Source organism: Homo sapiens, chromosome 7 (assembly GCF_000001405.40).
Source record: "Homo sapiens chromosome 7, GRCh38.p14 Primary Assembly".
NCBI classification, from domain to species: Eukaryota; Metazoa; Chordata; class Mammalia; order Primates; family Hominidae; genus Homo; species Homo sapiens.
The window spans coordinates 30,729,324-30,746,159 of NC_000007.14; the positions used below are offsets into that span (position 1 = coordinate 30,729,324).

At 51.9% G+C, this 16,836-nt stretch overlaps 1 long non-coding RNA gene across 1 annotated transcript in view; it reads left to right on the forward strand.

The window, feature by feature from the left end:
* LOC105375220 (uncharacterized) overlaps nt 1-16,575 on the forward strand; it is a 48,157-nt gene extending 31,582 nt beyond the window's left edge. The window contains exons 2-3 of the long non-coding RNA XR_001745154.2: nt 12,432-12,544; nt 15,960-16,575. This is a non-coding gene — a long non-coding RNA (uncharacterized LOC105375220). The remainder of the gene's footprint in view (nt 1-12,431; nt 12,545-15,959) is intronic.
* Nucleotides 16,576-16,836: the final 261 nt, after the last annotated feature.

Here is a 16,836-nt window from a genome sequence, read left to right on the forward strand (position 1 = left end):
GGAAGTCTGGGGAGGGCAGAAGAGTGGGACTGCAAGCAGGGCATTCGGGGTTCAGGGGGACGCCATGGAGGGCAGGCGATGGAAGAGCTGCAAGGGTGTGCTAGACCTTTAGGCTCTGTCCTGCAGCAAAGTCCCTTATGCTAAAAGCACAGGCCGGGCCCAGTGGCACAAGTCTCTAATCCCAGCACTTTGAGAGGCAGAGACAGGCGGATCACTTGAAGTCAGGAGTTTGAGACCAGCCTGGCTAACATGGCGAAACCCCGATTCTACTTTAAAAATGCAAAAATTAGCCAGGTGTGGTGGCATGCACCTGTAGTCCCAGCCACTCAGGAGGCTGAGGCTGCAGTGAGCCGAGATCATATCACTGCCCTCCAGCCTGGGCAACAGAGAGAGACCTTGTCTCAAAAATTAAAAAATAAAACCACAGGATGCCTTTCTGAAAGGTCACCTCTCCTAATCATGGCAGCAGCAGAGGGGAGTTCCTAGAAGTGGGAGGAAATTTTCCTAGCACCATGCCAGCACCATGTCTGCCAGCACCATGTCTGCCCCCGAGGTCTTTCCTCAGACCAAGGACAATCCTAGGAATGAGAGGCAGTTCTTGCTGAGATCCCTGCAGGCTAGGGCCCAGAACACACTTTTCCCCATAGCCCCTCATCTAATCCTTACCCAACCTAAGGGGGTGCTCTTAGGATCACCCAGTTTATACATGCAGAAACTGAAAGCTCAGCCATGATGCCTGCACACCAGAGCCAGGATTCAAGCCCAGTTCTGTCTGTCTGTCTGTCTGTCTGTCCATGGGGTTACGCAAACTCTGGGAGCACCTCTCTGGTTCCTTCACCCTGGTGCACAGAGCCCACCTGGTTACTGAGCACATGAACCAACTGCACTCACCCATCCACCCACCCTGCTTTGCAGCTGGGCACAGCTAGGATGGAAACTCAGCCTGCGCCTTGCTTACTGTGTGGCCCTAGGCAGATTCCTTAACCTTTCTGAGCCTCAGCTTTCACATCTGTAAAATAGGGATAGTTGTAATCACTCAGCAGGCACTGTGCTAGGCATTGGGGATACAGCATCAAACATAGACAGTCTCTGCCCTTGTGTACTTATTAGACAAACTAGACAAACTCTTCCAAATAATTAAATGCCAAACAAGAGCATAAAATACAGCACCTCACAGCCTTGTTTTATGGATCGCATGGCTTAGGAAAGGTGTATGTCTATCTCAGCAGAGGGACCTCAGTGCGGGTGAGGTGACTTCTCCTCTGCAAACCTGCCCCTGGAAATAGAGTGGAGCTGAGAAGCAAGCAAAGGAAGGAGCAGGACCCAGAAGAAGCGAATAGTAGGGCCAGGAGGAACTGCTGGGGACAGCCGAGCTGAAAATGGCTAAAATCCTGCCTCCAACTTGGCACTTTGTTTCTGACTAAGCCTGGGCTTTTTCTAGCTTCCTGCCTCTTTTGCTTCTTTGGTGTGACTGGGGAAATTGAGGCGAGGAAAGTAGTCGGGACTTGCTGACAACATAGCTGCAGCCCTCGGTACCTGGCCCTCCTGCCAACATTTGCACAGCCATGGTGGCACCACACTGCTGATGCTCGTCCACCTCTCCTGCCCAAAGCCTTGAGATGAAAGCCTTTCTTGTGCAAGAGGGGCTGAGATGGAGAGGAGAAGCAGGGCTGAGAGGTCTGCAATCCTTGGAGGAGATCCTGGGCAACATCTTCCTGCAACCACTTAACCCATGGAGGGCATGTGAGCTCACCCAAGGCCACACAGCTGATGAGAGATGTGGCTGGGTCTAGAATCCAGGTGTCCCAACTGCAGGCCAAGACTCTGCTGCACATGGTAACCACCAAGCTTCAAACCCGCGGGCTGCTCCCTCCCTCTCTGAGCCTCAGTCTTCCCATCCATGAATTGGGCAGCTGACTCCCTGGTCCTCAAGTTTCTGTCTGCATGGGGACCCCTCCCCCTTTTTGCCAGCTGTTGGGAAGTTGAGGCAGTGGGCAGGCTCCACTCTGGGTGCCCTCCCTCCCCACGACTTTGGGGTTCCCAGCACACCTTTCTACTGTCATTCCCCCACGGCAAGGCAGGAGCGAGGGGCTTATCTGGCTGTCTGAAAGCCGAATGGCTGGCCTCTCTGACTGGGTTTTCAGAAGCTTTCTGCCTTTGCTGCCGCGGTAGAAAAGATGACTTCCTTTGCAGTACTGAAGGAAAAGCAAGCAGTTATGCCTTTTGCGGTCTAAAATGGGCATAGGACCCCAGGGGAGAGGCGGAGCAGGTATTTTGCTGGCTAGCAGAATGGACAGCTGACACTGTTCTTGGGATCTGGAAGTTATCATTACAAAGAAAAAAACACATTGCTTTCTTCTCAATGCGTCGGGTAGTCAGTTTGCAGTCTAACAGCGGGAAATGGATGGCTTGCTTAATTACAGGATGTGTGCTCGCTCTGTCTACAGCCACGTGGCCCGTCGGTCACAGCCATGCTGAACTCTTCAGCAGATGGTCAGCATCTGCCACCCTAGGTATTTTGAGGGGGTGTCCTCTCCACCCAGGCACGCTCCCGTCCTGCCTTCCTGATGCTGCTCACATCTTGCCTGCCCACTCAAGCTCAGGCCTACTGCTGCCACCTCCATGAGAAAGTCTTCCATCGAGGAGTTCAGTGCACACTATGTCCCCCACTGCAAGACCCCAATTGCAGTGGTTAAAAAAAATCGATATATATTTATTTAAAAAAAATCATCCACCTTCCCAAGAACATGCTCCACCCTTCTCCAAAAACACAGAAAGTCATCTCCGCCTCTTTCCCAGTGAAGGAACACCAGGAGCCCTGGCAGGGGAGGCTCTGCTAACTCTGACCCCATGCACTTCTTTTTTTTCTTTTTCTTTCTTTCTTTCTTTCTTTCTTTCTTTCTTTCTTTCTTTCTTTCTTTCTTTCTTTCTTTCTTTCTTTCTCTCTCTCTCTTTCCTTCCTTCCTTCCTTCCTTCCTTCCTCTTTCCTTCTTTCCTTTTCTTTCTTTTGAGACAGATAGAGAGTCTTGCTCTGTCATCCAGGCTGGAGTGCGGTGGCACAATCTCAGCTCACGGCTCACTGCAACCTCCGCCTCCAGGGTTCGAGTGATTCTCCTGCCTCAGCCTCCTGAGTAGGTGGGACTATAGGCATGTGCCACACCTGGCTATTTTTTTTTATTTATTTTATTTTATTTTTATTTTGAGTAGAGACGGGGTTTCGCCATGTTGCCCAGGCTGATCTTGAACTCCTGTCCTCAGGTGATCCACTCACCTCGGCCTCCCACAGTGCTGGGTGGCCCATGTACTTCTCCAGCTCTTGTCACTGTAGCTCATCTCACCAGCTGCCCTGCCTTCCTAAAGCTGTGCACGCCACTCCTGCCCACGTCCCGCCACCTTTGATCACAGAAGTGCCTATGCCAGGACATCAGTTCCTCCCCACTGCCGCCTTTTCCAGCCCCCAGCTCCTTGGCTGTCACCGCTCTGCCTGTGGAAGCCCGTCCCCAGCCCACACGGGCCTCTACAGGAGCCCTCAAGGACGCTCCGAGTGGCTGTGCTCCTCCGGTCTCTCCTGGTGCTTCTCCTGGCTGTGCCTCCTGCCAGAGGCAACCAGCCACACCCAGGCCACGTTGCCACCCTCTGCACAGGTGTCGAGCTCCTCAGGCCTAAAAGGAGGACCAGAAGTGATCTCCTGTAGACCAGCGTCTCACTGGGTGCTGGGCTGTGGGAGCCCTGCTTCACCATCCCAGCAGGAGCCCACTCAGCCTCTGCTTGCACACCCCATAGTAGTGGGGAACTCACTCCCTTTACATGCTCTGCTGGCTCCCCAGGCAGCCCTGCCACGTGGGGCAACTCTGTTGTCCTTCCTTGTGCTCAGCCCTCATCACCCTGCCTTGAGAGACCTCCCGACCCCTCAGATATCCCAACTTTGGTTTCTGTTGGGAGGTGGTTCCCATCTGCTGGGAGAGCAAGCTGGGCAGGAGGTCATGGCCTTCCCGGCTGCACTAGGCAGGGGTTCTGGGCGCATCTTCACCACCCCTGTCCTTCGCTCAGACCCTCCAACAGTGCATGTGGTCTGGGCCATAGGGAGCCTGGGGCCTCCCTGACTGCCCCTGTTGACTGTGCCCACTGAGCCGGGGTGCAGGACCCACCTAGCACCATCCAGGGGCCCAGTGGCCTCGCAGCCTGGCCAGATCTGGGAGAATCTGTTTGGCTTTGAACACCTCTGTCTTCTGGAGGTCTTTAGAACACTCAGCTTCAGTGAACATGCATGTTGGATTCTTGGACTCTGGAAATATTCATGCAGTATTTGACCCTCCCAGTCTGGATTCCAAATTCAGTCATTCCCAGAGCATACACTCTTCTCCGGTTTTTGGCAAGTGGGCTGGGGAGCAGGTGCCAGGCTCCATCTCGCACATGCTGTGTGCATCCCCAGGGAAGTCAGTGGCTGCTGTGACGAGGGCAGTCATGAAGCAGGATCCCACACCGCCTGCACGATGCTGCCCACCACAGGACAGTTCACCTGCCAGCCTATCCATGCCCGCCACCCGCTGGCCCATCCATGCCCATCAGAGGACGGCTCGCCCGCCGGCCCATCCAGTCCACTCCACTGGCTGGCTCTGCCACCTCTCATGTCCCTGATTCCGCTCCTGTTATGCCCCATGAAGCCTGTGCCCCAGCTGGTCTCCTCACCCTCATACCCCAGGCACTTGCCCTCCTTCCTTGTGGTCATGCTTTTCTGGAAACCTCCAATGCTCACCTTGCCTTCCTTCTTCAGGGTCAAGCTCTGTGCCCTCCCCTTGCCTCCAGATGGGCTCCCCACACCCCACTGACCTTCTCAGGGATCCCTCAGGGATCCGCTGACCTCTTGGGGGCTCCCCAGTCCCCCTGACCTCCTCGGGGCTTCCTCTAGCCCACCTTCCAGCCCCGCTCTGATGGAGCCAGTGTGATCACAAGATTCCCCCCCCAGGGTGGGGGCTCCTCCTCTGAGCTCACTGAATGTGTGCCGGATTTAGGGGAAAAGCCTCACACCGACAGCTAACACTGCATAGCGCTTACCTTGGGCCAGGCCTGGTGCTGCATGCTTCATATGAACTCATTTCATCTCCCCCATTACCCTTGTTTTGCATGTGACTAAATAGAGGCTAAGAGAGGTTAGGTAACTTGCCCAGGATCAGAGCTGAGCATCAGGGTCAGGGTTGAAACCCAGGCAGGGATGTCTTTGACATTGCGTCTCCACTGTCCCCTGTGCTCTAGCGATGGGAAGGACAGGTGGCGGGGTCTCCAGGGGCCCTTTCTGGAGCAGGAGCACTGAGGTCAGTGAGCATTTGCTGGACAATGGCTGAGAGAGACGCTCACTGGTGCAGCATTTTGTGTAAACACCCCCAGTGACACAAGCAGGGCCTGCTCCTCCCTCTCCTAGCTCCCTCTGCTGCCTCAACTCCTGGGCCTATCAAGACCTTAACGCTCACGGCCCTCTGGCCCAGGGGGATGCCGGCAGAATGCAAGCTCTCCTGCTGCAGCTTCCCTGAGAGCAGAACCTGAGACCAGAGCTTGGGGAGAGATGATGGTTTGGGGGTTGCCCCCAGGAGGCAAGGAAGCAGGAATGAGGGAGCAGGGAGAGCGAGACAGGCAGGGAGGAAGAGCTAGCACCAGCAGCCAGGTTTGTGTATCCTGTTCTTGTTTCATGCATTAAACATCTTCTATCTCCCAGAGCACACTGATGATCCTTTACAGAAAGTTTTCTCCTCCCTGCACAATCTGTTTCTTCCAGGTTGCCTTTGTCTTGTTTCAGGCCAGGAGTTTGAGGCCAGCCTGGGCAACATTGTGAGACCCCCAACTCTACCAAAAAAAAAAAAAAGGAAAAAGAAAGAAAAAGAAAATTATCTGGGTGTGGTGGTGCGTGTCTGTGGTCTCAGCTACTCAGGAGGCTGAGGCAGGAGGATTGTTTGAGCCCAGGAGTTCAAGGTTACAGTAAGCTATGATGGTGCCACTGCACTTCAGCCTGGGTGACAGAGCGAGACACTGTCTCTCTTAAAAAAACAAAAACAAAACCAAAAACAAGCAAACAAACAAAACCCAAAGAATTTGATCAGCCCAGGAGAAATGATCTGAGAAATCGACATCAGGGCTCTAGGGCCAGACTGGACCCCCAGTGAGTACTGAGCTTCTAATCTCCGTAGTGCCCCACTGCAAATATGAGCAGGCAGCTGAGGATCGCCATACACGTGATGAAAGTCCAATAGCAGAGAAAACGAGTTTGAGAACAGCCTGGGCCACGTGCAGTGGTTCATGCCTGTAATCCCAGTGCTTCAGCCTCCCAAAGTGCTGGGATTACAGGCATGAACCACTGCACCTGGCCTAGTGCTGGTTATATTATCTAGAAAAGACTTTTCTGGTCTCCTGTGTAAGGATAGGACACCTAGAGTCCACCAGAGAGTAGAGTGAGAGGGAAGAAGGCTGGGGCACCGGATGATGTTGATATCCAGCATATAAATCTTCAGCTAATCCTCTTATGTCAAGAACAGTGCTTCCAGCGTCAACTGTGTCTGGTGGCCCTTGGCGAAGACACCCTTTGTTTTGCCTTCCCTAAGGAACAGGATTTTGGTCCTGGGTGTGGTGGGGCAAGGAGCACCAGCTGCTATGGGCTGACAGGCAGGGCATGAGAACTTCTTCCTACAAAGCATTCAACAGTCCACCTGCTGGGAGCCCACCTTCAGCCCACCCTCACCCTTTCCAGAAGTAGCCAGTCCATTCTCGCAACCTTCCTAGAGGAAGTCAAGTTGCTTACCAACTTCCACCATGGCAAGCTTACGATGCAGCTTGCCCTGGCCTGGTAAGTTAAGGTACCTGCTCATCAACCTGCTCCCCAGCTTCCAACATTGTGTTGCTGTTGTCTCCTCTCCCACTTGTCATTACCAGTTTATTGCTTTTAAATACTCTACTTATTGTCCATTTAGTGGGGTTTTAGGAAGGACGAGGCTCAAATGTGCTCAATCTGCTGTCCTTATCTGAAAAAGCTATCTGTATTTCAGTTATTTTTGTGTAGTGACAACTCACCTCAAAATAGAGGCTTAGTACATTTATGATTTCTCAGGATGCTGTGGGTTGGCTGGGCCATGCTGCGGTCAGGACAGCACAGCGGTCAGGGCTGGTTGGGCTACTCTCTGCACTCAGCTGGCATCTTGGCTGGGGCTGGGGGTCTGCAATGCCCTCATTCACATGTCTGGCAGTGACTTGATGTTGGCTGGGGCAATGGCATGGCACAGCCCTCAGTGTCCAGCAGGCCAGTCTGGGCTTTCCCACATGCTGGGTGATATGGTTTGGCTGTGTCCCCACCCAAATCTCGTCTTGAATTGTGGTTTTCATAATCCCCACAGGTCGTGGGAGGGACTGGTGGGAGGTATTTGAATCATGGGAGCAGCTACCCTCATGCTGTTCTTGTGATACTGAGTTCTCACAAGATCTGATGGTTTTATAAGGGGCTTTTCCCCCTTTTGCTCAGCACTTCGCCTTGCTGCCATCATGTGAAGAAGGACGTGTTTACTTCCCCTCCTGCCATGATTGTAAGTTTCCTGAGGCCTCCCTAGCCATACTGAACTGTGAGTCAATTAAACTTCTTTTCTTTATAAATTACCCATTCTCAGGTATGTCTTTATTAGCAGCGTGAGAATGGACTAATACGCTGAGGGCCACAGGGTTCCTAAGAGCCGCAAGGAAGGGAACAAGTCCCACTGTGAAAGCGCTTATTTTTTAATAGACTTTGTTTTTTAGAGCAGTTTTAGGTTCACAGCAACACTGAGTGGAAAGTTCAGAGATTCCTCATATGTTCCCTGTCCCCACCCCCAACTATTCACATCCCCCACCAGAGTGGTACATTTGTTATAATCAATTAACCTATGTTGACACATCATTATGACCCAAACTCCATTGTCTACACTAGGGTCCACTCTTGGTGTTGTTCATTCTATGGGTTTGGACAAATGTATAATGTCACATATCCACCATTGTGGTGTCATATAGGATAGTTTCACTAACCTAAAAATAAAAATCCTCTGTGCTCCACCTGATCATTCCTCCTTCCCCCAAACCCCTGGTAACTACTAATCTTTTACTGTCTCCATAGTTCTACCTTTTCCAGAATGTCATATAGTTGGAATCATAGAGTAAGCAGCCTTTTCAGATCAACTTCTTTCAATTAAGAAAGTTTGTTTCCTCTGTGTCTTTTCATGGCTTGATAGCTCATCGTTTTTTTAAGTCCTGAAAAATAACCCATTGTCTGGATGCACTATAGTTATGCATTTATCTGGGCAGTCCCAGATATCCTGGTTGCTTCCAGGTTGTATCAATTCATAAATACAGATGCTATAGACATTTGTGCATGAATTTTTGTGTGGACATGAGTTTTCAACTTCTTTGGGTAAATACCAAGAAGGAAGAGAGGGGACAAGCTCCAGTGTGTAAGCACTTTTCAAACCTCTGCTTGCATCACTTTTGCTAATGGCCAAAACAAGTCATGTGGTCAAGTCCAGATTAGGAACAGGGAGATGGTGGAGAGAAATAGCTCTACCTCCTAATGGAAGAAGAGGCAAAGTCATATTGCAAAGACTTGTGCCCACTGGAAAGGGAAGAATCTGTGGTCGTTTTTGCAATCGATCCCATTCTGGTACATGCTTGCTTTTTGAAGTCTTGATGTTCTGCTTAAAGCATCAAGTTGTTACATCATGGCCCATTTGCGATATAAAGAATAAAACAAAGCTATTGGACTAGATGGCTTCAGAAACTGCTTAGTTCAAAAGGTGAAGTTTGCAGCAGCAGAAGTCTATAATAAGTTTCACATATTCAATTTATTTATTCAACATGTACCATGTGCTAGGCACTAGACACAACCACAAACAAGGGAGAGCAGTTTCCTGCCTCAGAATTTCTATGTCACTGAGAGACAGAAAATAGAATAACATGTGAGATGAAGGAAATAAATGGGTGATGTGATAGTGAATGGAGAAAGAGAGGGGGAAACATCTACTCTATGTGGTAAGAGTAGGGATAGGTACCTTTTGAGCTGAGATGTGGAATATGAGGAGGGAGCCAGGAATGGAGGCTGCTAAAAAGGACCTCCCTTCTCTTCTGCTTTCTCTTTCCCTTCTTGTTTCCTGTCATCATCTCTCTATTTCTAGATCAGTGCTTCTCAGACTTTAATGTATGTATGAATCACCTGGAGAGCTTGTTAAAATGCAGATCAGATTCAGCAGGTCTGGGCTGGGACCCGAGATGCTGCATTTCTAATAAGTTCCCTGGTGATGCTGCTGCTGCTGCTCCTTGGACCACCCTTTACACAGCAAGAACCTGGAGGTGGGGTAGGTGCTGAGGCGAGATAATAGAACCAGAATCAGGGCAGTGGCGGGGCGATGAGGGCCACTAGGTGGATTTGAGAGCTGTTTAGGAGGTAATGTCAAGGCCTGGGGAAGCTGGTGGTGCAGACCAACGGTGACAGAGGAAGAGGCTAGGGTGGCAGTCATGTGTCTGGCATGGATAAGGGTTGCACAGGAGTGTCCTTGCTGGGCTGGGGAGAGGGGAGGAGAAGCAAGGCTGGGGGACCAGGAGATGGGCAGTGTGCCTTTGGACCTGCTCAGTTTGAGGGTCCTCGGGCTAGGCCAGTAGAGGCAGCTGGATACTGTAGTGGTGGGGAGAGGACAGCAAGTAGGTCTGAAATACAGAGCTGCTCTATAGATGAACTTCTAGAAGGAGTGAGTGATTCTTGGATGCTCCCAATGACATATCAATAGAGGCAGCACAGATGGCTCCGTCATGGTTCAGAAGACCTTTTCGAATCATTCAGGAGCCTAGGCCCTGAAGGATCTAGGACATCAGGGATCATCGGTCTACACTCAGACACCTTATCATACAGTCCTGCTTTACTAACAGTGTGAAGCCTGGGCTGGGGGTAGGTGGAAAGGAAGTACTTTGTGCTCTGTTCCCTTGGTACCCAGAATGGGTCTTGGATCAGCAACATCAGCATCCCTAGGGACATTTCAGAAATGCAAATTATTTGCCCCCCTCAGATCTGCAGATTCAGAATCTGCATTTTGACAGACTCCCAAGTAATTCGTGAGCTCAGTACAGTTTGAGAAGCACCAGCCCAGGCCAGCAGTTCTCAATCTTCCATACATTTGAATCACCAGGGGAGCTTTACAAGGTGCTGATGCCTGGGTGGCATCTCCAAGAATTTCTGATCTAATTGGTCTGGGGTAAGGCCAAGGATTCAGGACTTTTACAGCTGCCTAGGTAAGTCTAATGCATATCCAGGGTGAAAACCCCTGCCCTGGCACCACCCAACCTTTGACTGACTACAGCTGGCGATATTGAAGGTGAATGACATTGTAGAAGTAACTTTGCATCTTTGGGCCTCAAGTTGGAAACCTGCAACCCCTCTAACTACCCCCATCCCCATTCCCATGTGCCTGGTGGGAGCCTGGAGGAGGGCAGGCAATGTGGGAGGGTTCTGGGCAGTCCTAGAAAACTCAGCCGTAAAGAGCCAGCTGGTTCTTCACACAAGCAGCTGCAAGCCCCCCCACCAGGCCCCTACTGCCTGCCAGGCCAAGACAGGGAACTGCCAAGGTGAAGAATCTGAGAGGGCATCCTTAGTCCTTGCCCTGGGAAGTTCTAGCTGGCAGGGAAGACCTTCAAAGACCAAAGGGAAGAAAGCCCACCACGCCAGGGTAAGAGAAGGAGTGGGGATATTTTCTGGGTAGAGTGCCCAGGTAGGTCTTCCTCCCTCTCTCACCTGGAGAGAAAAGCTGGAGAAATTAGGTGCCAACTCTAGGATGTGCCCAGGAACCTCATTATTTCAGGGAAAATTCAGATTTTAAGATGCATTCCTTTCTATTATTCCTTGCTACTCAAAGCGTGGTCCCTGGACCAGCAATGTCAGCGTCACTTGGGAGCTTGTTGGGAATACAGAATCTCAGCCCTACTGGCTCAGATGTACCGGATCAGAATTCAAAGTTTAGCAAGATCTCCAGGTGATGCACAGGCACATTAGTTTGGAAAACCTTGCCTCCTGGTCCCCAGCTGAAATACAGTGTCCAGGACCACGAGCCAGGTGGGTCCAAGCTTCTTAGCGGCCCTGCCTGTCGAAAGGGTTCCAGGTTCCTCCCGGTGGGCCGGCTCATGGTTCCTCTGCCTGGTTAGGCCTGGCAGAACCTCCATGAATCAAAAGGTGGCAGGAAATGGACCTTTCTCTCCCAAGGAGGATCCACACAGAATCTCCTTTCCAGCCTCCGCCTGCTGCTTCCTGCCCTGCACTGCCCTCTGGTGGCCATGGAAGCCATTGCCACCTGGCATTGCCCCCGTCTCCAGCAGATCCAGGACCCAGGGATGAAAGTCTGTTGCTTATGGTGGATGGACGAAGACTCGTCATTGTCCTCTGATATAAGGCTCAGGGACCCCAAAAACATGATGGAGGCAGTTTGAAAAGCACTGAGCTTCAGCAGCAGGATGGCAAATGTGCCTGGGGTGCTGGCTCAACCCTTCTCCCCATCACAGCTCTTTCCTGTACCACTTGCTGGAGTCTGTTCAGAGGTGGGGCATGGGCTAGAGAGGAGGGGAGGAGTTCTGTGTTGCAAGGACTTGCAGGTAGGAGGTTGCTGGACTGGTTCCGGGAGCCCTCTTGGTGTGTACCGGCCCTGAGGCAGCAGCCAGGGTGTGCAGGGCCTCATGCACTGTTGCTGGGCTGGGCCCTTATCCCCGCGGGGCATGGTGTAAAGCAGGATACAGCCTGGCCTGCACCGGCTTTGGAAGGTTTCTCTGGGGAGAACGGACTGGGGTTGGGGACACTGGGAGTTGAAAGACCTGTGAGGGGTCATGCCACATTTTGGAAAGTAGTTGGGGGCTTCATGTAGGCCTGGCCTGGTTGGAGAAATGCTGATGCCCTTCCTACATCCCAGGGAAAATGAGGAAACCCAGTGCTAAGAGCTGGCTGGAACTGAGCTGGCTGTTTGAGTAAGAAGAGATGTACGACCTTGTGAAGGTCCTTCTAGGGACGTGGCCCCAGGCCTTCCCAGAGGTCAGAGGCCCCAGGTTCTCGACCATATGGATGGACAGCCTGAGTCCCGGCTCTGCCCTGCTGGTCAGCCTCAGCCGACCATTTCCTGAGGCTCCATCACCACCAGATCCGTCGTAACCTGGACAGAGCCCAGGCTCCAATGCTGCCCCTGCCACTGACCACTTAGCACTCTGGGTGGGGCCAGTCCCCTCCCCTCCCAGACCTCGGCTTCCCCACCTGCAGGAACAGGAGCTTGGCCTAGAGGTCTTCTAGCTCTCACAGGTGCCTTTCCACTTTAAGAACCTGAGATCCTGTTCCTCTGGTGGAAAAACCAGCCTCCCCAGGACCTGTCCCACACCCCAGCCAACAGGACATTTCATGTCTGTTGCAGATGCTCTTGCTGCCTCTTCCCATTCCCTCAGCATGCTGGCTGAACTTCCCACAGCCAGCACCTGTGAGTCTTCACTCGAGGCTTCTCTCTTGGGCTGCACTGTCCAAATACAGGTGAGTTGGACATGCTGGGGAATTAACGCCCCTCAGGAGCAGCCCTCTGTCATGATGACAGGAGTCGGTGGGCAAGTGTTGCAGCTCCCGGGGTGGGATAACTCCGAGCCATGTGCTCTACGCTGGCCCCAGAGCCCCCAGCACAACGGCGTTCCAATTGCCCACAGCGGTAAGGGTTTGATGACACCCTGTTTGGCTGCCTGCTCTGCTTTCCTTCCCACGTCCTAATTGATGTTTCCTGGGATCTCCCTCCAAATCAACTATCAGCACTGAAATCCTTGTCTTAGAGTCTGCTTCTATGGGAATCCAAACAAAGATAGTATCCAGCTAAGTCACTTTTTGTTCATGATCTTTGGTATGGGGTAGTGTAAGGGACAGACCCCTAGGCGGGGTGCTGGGGGAACCCTTGCTTTTCACTTGTGACCTTGGGACCAGGTAACAGGAATGAAGAGGTAGGGCTGAGACCTGACCTGCTTTTAGGGGGAGCTGTGGGGCAAGACTGTAGATGCTCTGGTCATGACTTCCCCTCTCGGTCAGGCCCTCTTCTGCCAGGCTGGCCTCAGACACTGGGGCCCTTGCAGGCAGCCACAAAGCAGATGCCGTCGTTGATGGAGCATGTCTCAGAGCAGCTGATGGGGCACACCTCTGCACCTGGCAGCCAGCCTCCTGCATGGCCTTCTCCACCGTCTCCTTCTCTGGGTGGAGCCCAAAGAACTTCTTGGAGCCTACCATATAGTGGGAGTGCAGGGCAGCCATGGTGACCAGGTTCCCATCTGCTTTCAGCAGGCTGGCCAGCCTCTGCAGGGCTGCCCAGTACATGTCCACATCAGGACAGGCACTCTTCAGGGGACACCTGGATTGACCCCAGTGGATGCAGCTTGGTCATATCGCACTTCAGCAACCACGTGACTGTCCAGCAAAGCTGGTTCTCCTTCTCATGCCACCTGCTTCTATGGAGGAGGGTCACAGAGATGACATAATGATTGTGATAGCAGCCCCTCAGCCCTCACCACCACCCTCTGGGCAAAGCCTGTGACTTATCCTGTTCAGCAACTCTTTGAGCGAGATTATTATTTTCCTCATTATACAGATGAAGAAACTGAGGCATAGACTTGCTCACGTCTACACAGCTGTAGGTGACAGTGGATTCGATAACTCCCCTTCCCCTCCTCCTGCGCCTCTTTCTTTTAAACAATTGAATAGTTTTTGGTATATTACATTATTAATTTCATTAAGTAGTAAACTATATTACAAAATTGGCCATTTTGATCAAAGTGTATGGTTCCGTGACATTAATTGCGCTCACACAGTTGTGCGCCCGTCACCAACTGTCTTTCCAACATTTTTGCATCATTCCATATGTAAACCCTGTACTCATTAAACAGTAACTCCCCATTCCCCATTCTCCCTCCTGGCAGCCCCTGGTAACCTCCAATCTACTTTCTGTTTCTGGATTTGCCTATTCTAGACGTTTCATGTATGGGGAGCCTACAGTATTTGTCCTTCCCTGTTTGGTTCATTTCACTTAGCGTAACATCTTTAGGTTCAGCCATGCCGGAACTCCCTGCTTCTTGAAACACACTCTTTACTTGGCTTCTTGAGGCACTTCACCCTCGTGGTTCTCCCTTTTTCTGTCTCCCTGAACACCCTCCTCCACTCCCTAGCCTTAGAACACAGCATCTCCTCCCCATCCACACTTAGCCACTTGATGGCCTCAGCCGTCCACGGATGACTCCCAGGTCAGGCTCCAGCCCTGGAGTCTCTGGGAGGCCCAGACATGCACAACCAGGGGCTCCTCCGTGGGTATCTCCACTTCAGTGTCAGGCAGGTGACTCCAACACATTGCCCAGGCTGAGAAGTCAACATCTGCTGCCATACCTGCTCCTTCCTTGTCATTTCCCTCCTAATACTGGCAACTCCATCCTTCTTGTGGCTGTGGCCAAAAACCTTGGAGTTGCCCTTGACTCTTCTCTCTCTCTTACATCCAAACCATCAGCAAATCCTGTTGGCTCCGCCTGCAGAGTGATTCCAAACTCCAGCCACCTCCAGCCCCTGCAGGCCTCCTGCTGTTGGCTCTTCCCTGGAGGATGCCAGCACCTGCTGCTGCTCTGCCCAATGCTGCCCTCGCCTCCCAAGGCCTAGCATGATGAACAGTTCTTTAAGAAATGTAGAGGCTATCATGCCATTCTCTTCTCCAGTGCCTGGGAGATCCACGGCACCATCCTCCCTCCTTACCGTGGCCCTCAAGGCCCCACAGGATGTGGTCTCCGCCTCCCTGACACCTAACTCTCCTCCTCACTCCACCCCTCGCACAGCACCCTTTTCACTGTCCTCGACACACGGGCGGCTCCCCGCCACCACTGGGCCTTTGCCCTTGCTGCTCATGCTGCCTGACACTCCCTTTCCTCGGGTCTTTATGCCTTTTCTCCCTTCCTTCGCTGGGACACCACTTGGAGTGCTCCTCGGAGAGGCCCTTTCCCACCATCCCACCACCCACAGTGCCCCACCTCGCTCTGGCAACTCCTACAGTTTGCAGTGCACACCCTGCCCAACTGTGCATGGCGGCCCTAAATCATCTGAGCTGTAGTTCTTGCTATTACTACTGACTGGCTGTTTGACCTTACCTGGGCTGGCCTCCTCTCTCCCTGCTCTCTTACCTGAGCCTCAGTCTCCCCTTGTGTGCACTGAAGGACTTGGTGATAGTCTCTACTGGCTCACCCCATTCTGATACCCGAGGGCAGGGATTTGTAAACTAAGCTATGTGGTTTGCCTTTGGATATCCATGAACTCTGTCAGTTTTGTGTAGAAAATTTGTGTGTGTTTGTGTGTGTGTGTGTATCAGAACTTTCATCAGATTTTCAGAGGGATTCAAGAGCCCAGAAAGGCTACAAAGCCTGGCTTTATGGACTGTCTGCAGGGGAGGCTGGCAGAGACAGAGAGACAGCCGGCAGTGTGTTCATTATGTCTGTTCTCTAATTTTCCCTCAGCATGAGCCTGTGAGCCCCAAGCTTCTCCCATTTTATAGGTGAAGAAACTGAGGCCCACTGGCAGAGACTCATGCCCAGCTCCTTGGCCTCCACGGCCCGTGCTCAGACCCCATTGAGCTGCCACCTGGCAGAGGCCCTCATGGGTTCATAGAGCTTGACTGGGCTGACTTTGCAGCATCTTTGGTGAGCAGTGGCCAGAGGATGGGGCCGCTTGCCTCCAACCTGCAGGTCTTGCTGTCAGCTGTAACCCTGTACTGCCCCCAAAGTGGAGACCAGCCATTCACCTGAAGAGAAGCTTTGAAAGAGGGTTTCCAGGTTAGATTTCAGGATTTCATTTTTGGTCACAGTGCTGAGTCGAAGGCGTAGTAGGTCAGTAAGTAGTCCCGGGGGTGGAGCTCTTTCTCACAGTCTTTTCCTCCTGTATACAGGTTGCCCTCCAACTGGCTGAGGACCCCTCGGTGCCTTCCCACTCTTCAGTCATGGTAGGTACACCCCTGCCCTTCCAGCCTTTCCCACCAGGAGTTTCACAGCCTCCTGGAACCAGCGCCTGCCTCTCAGGGAGGTGCTCAGATTCCTCACAGATGAAGCCAGAGACACAGTGTGAGCTTTTCTGGCTGGAGTTTATCTGCTTGATACATTACCAAAATCATAAGAACGCAACAGGATCACCAGGGCCAGGTCTCACGGGTTCCTGCTTCGACATGGTGTTTTGAGTGTAGGGGCTGCTGGAGGCAGGGAGGGAGAGACTTACACAGAGGGACACAGACACAGAATGAGAGAGACAGACAGGCAAAGAGACAAACGGAGACAAAGACAGAGGCAAAGAGAGATCAAGGGTCTGCAATATTTCAAGGATGTTTCACTCTTGGAGTTTGGTGGGAAAACAAGAATCAGAGTGGAAAGGCCCCTTGGGGGAGGAAACAGGATCTAAAGATGGCTAAGATTTCACTGATGAAGGTCAGTGAGCTTGCTCTTGAAAACAGGCTTGTCCTGGCTGGGCATGGTGGCTCATGCCTGCAATCCCAGCACTTTTGGAGGCTGAGGTGGGAGAACTGCTTGAGCCCAGGAGTTTGAGACCAGGAGACCAGCCTGGGCAACACAGCAAGACCACACGTCTCTCTAAAAAAGAATAAATAAATAAATAAATAAGCAGCTTGTCCTTAACTTGATTCACTATTCTCTGCTGCCTTTAATTCTGTTTACTTTATTTACTTGCTTAATTAATCTCTTTTTTTGACTAGTGCAGAAGTAAACTTAGCCAGGGTCCATATGTTTGGACAAACCATTTATAAAGTGTTGCCATTC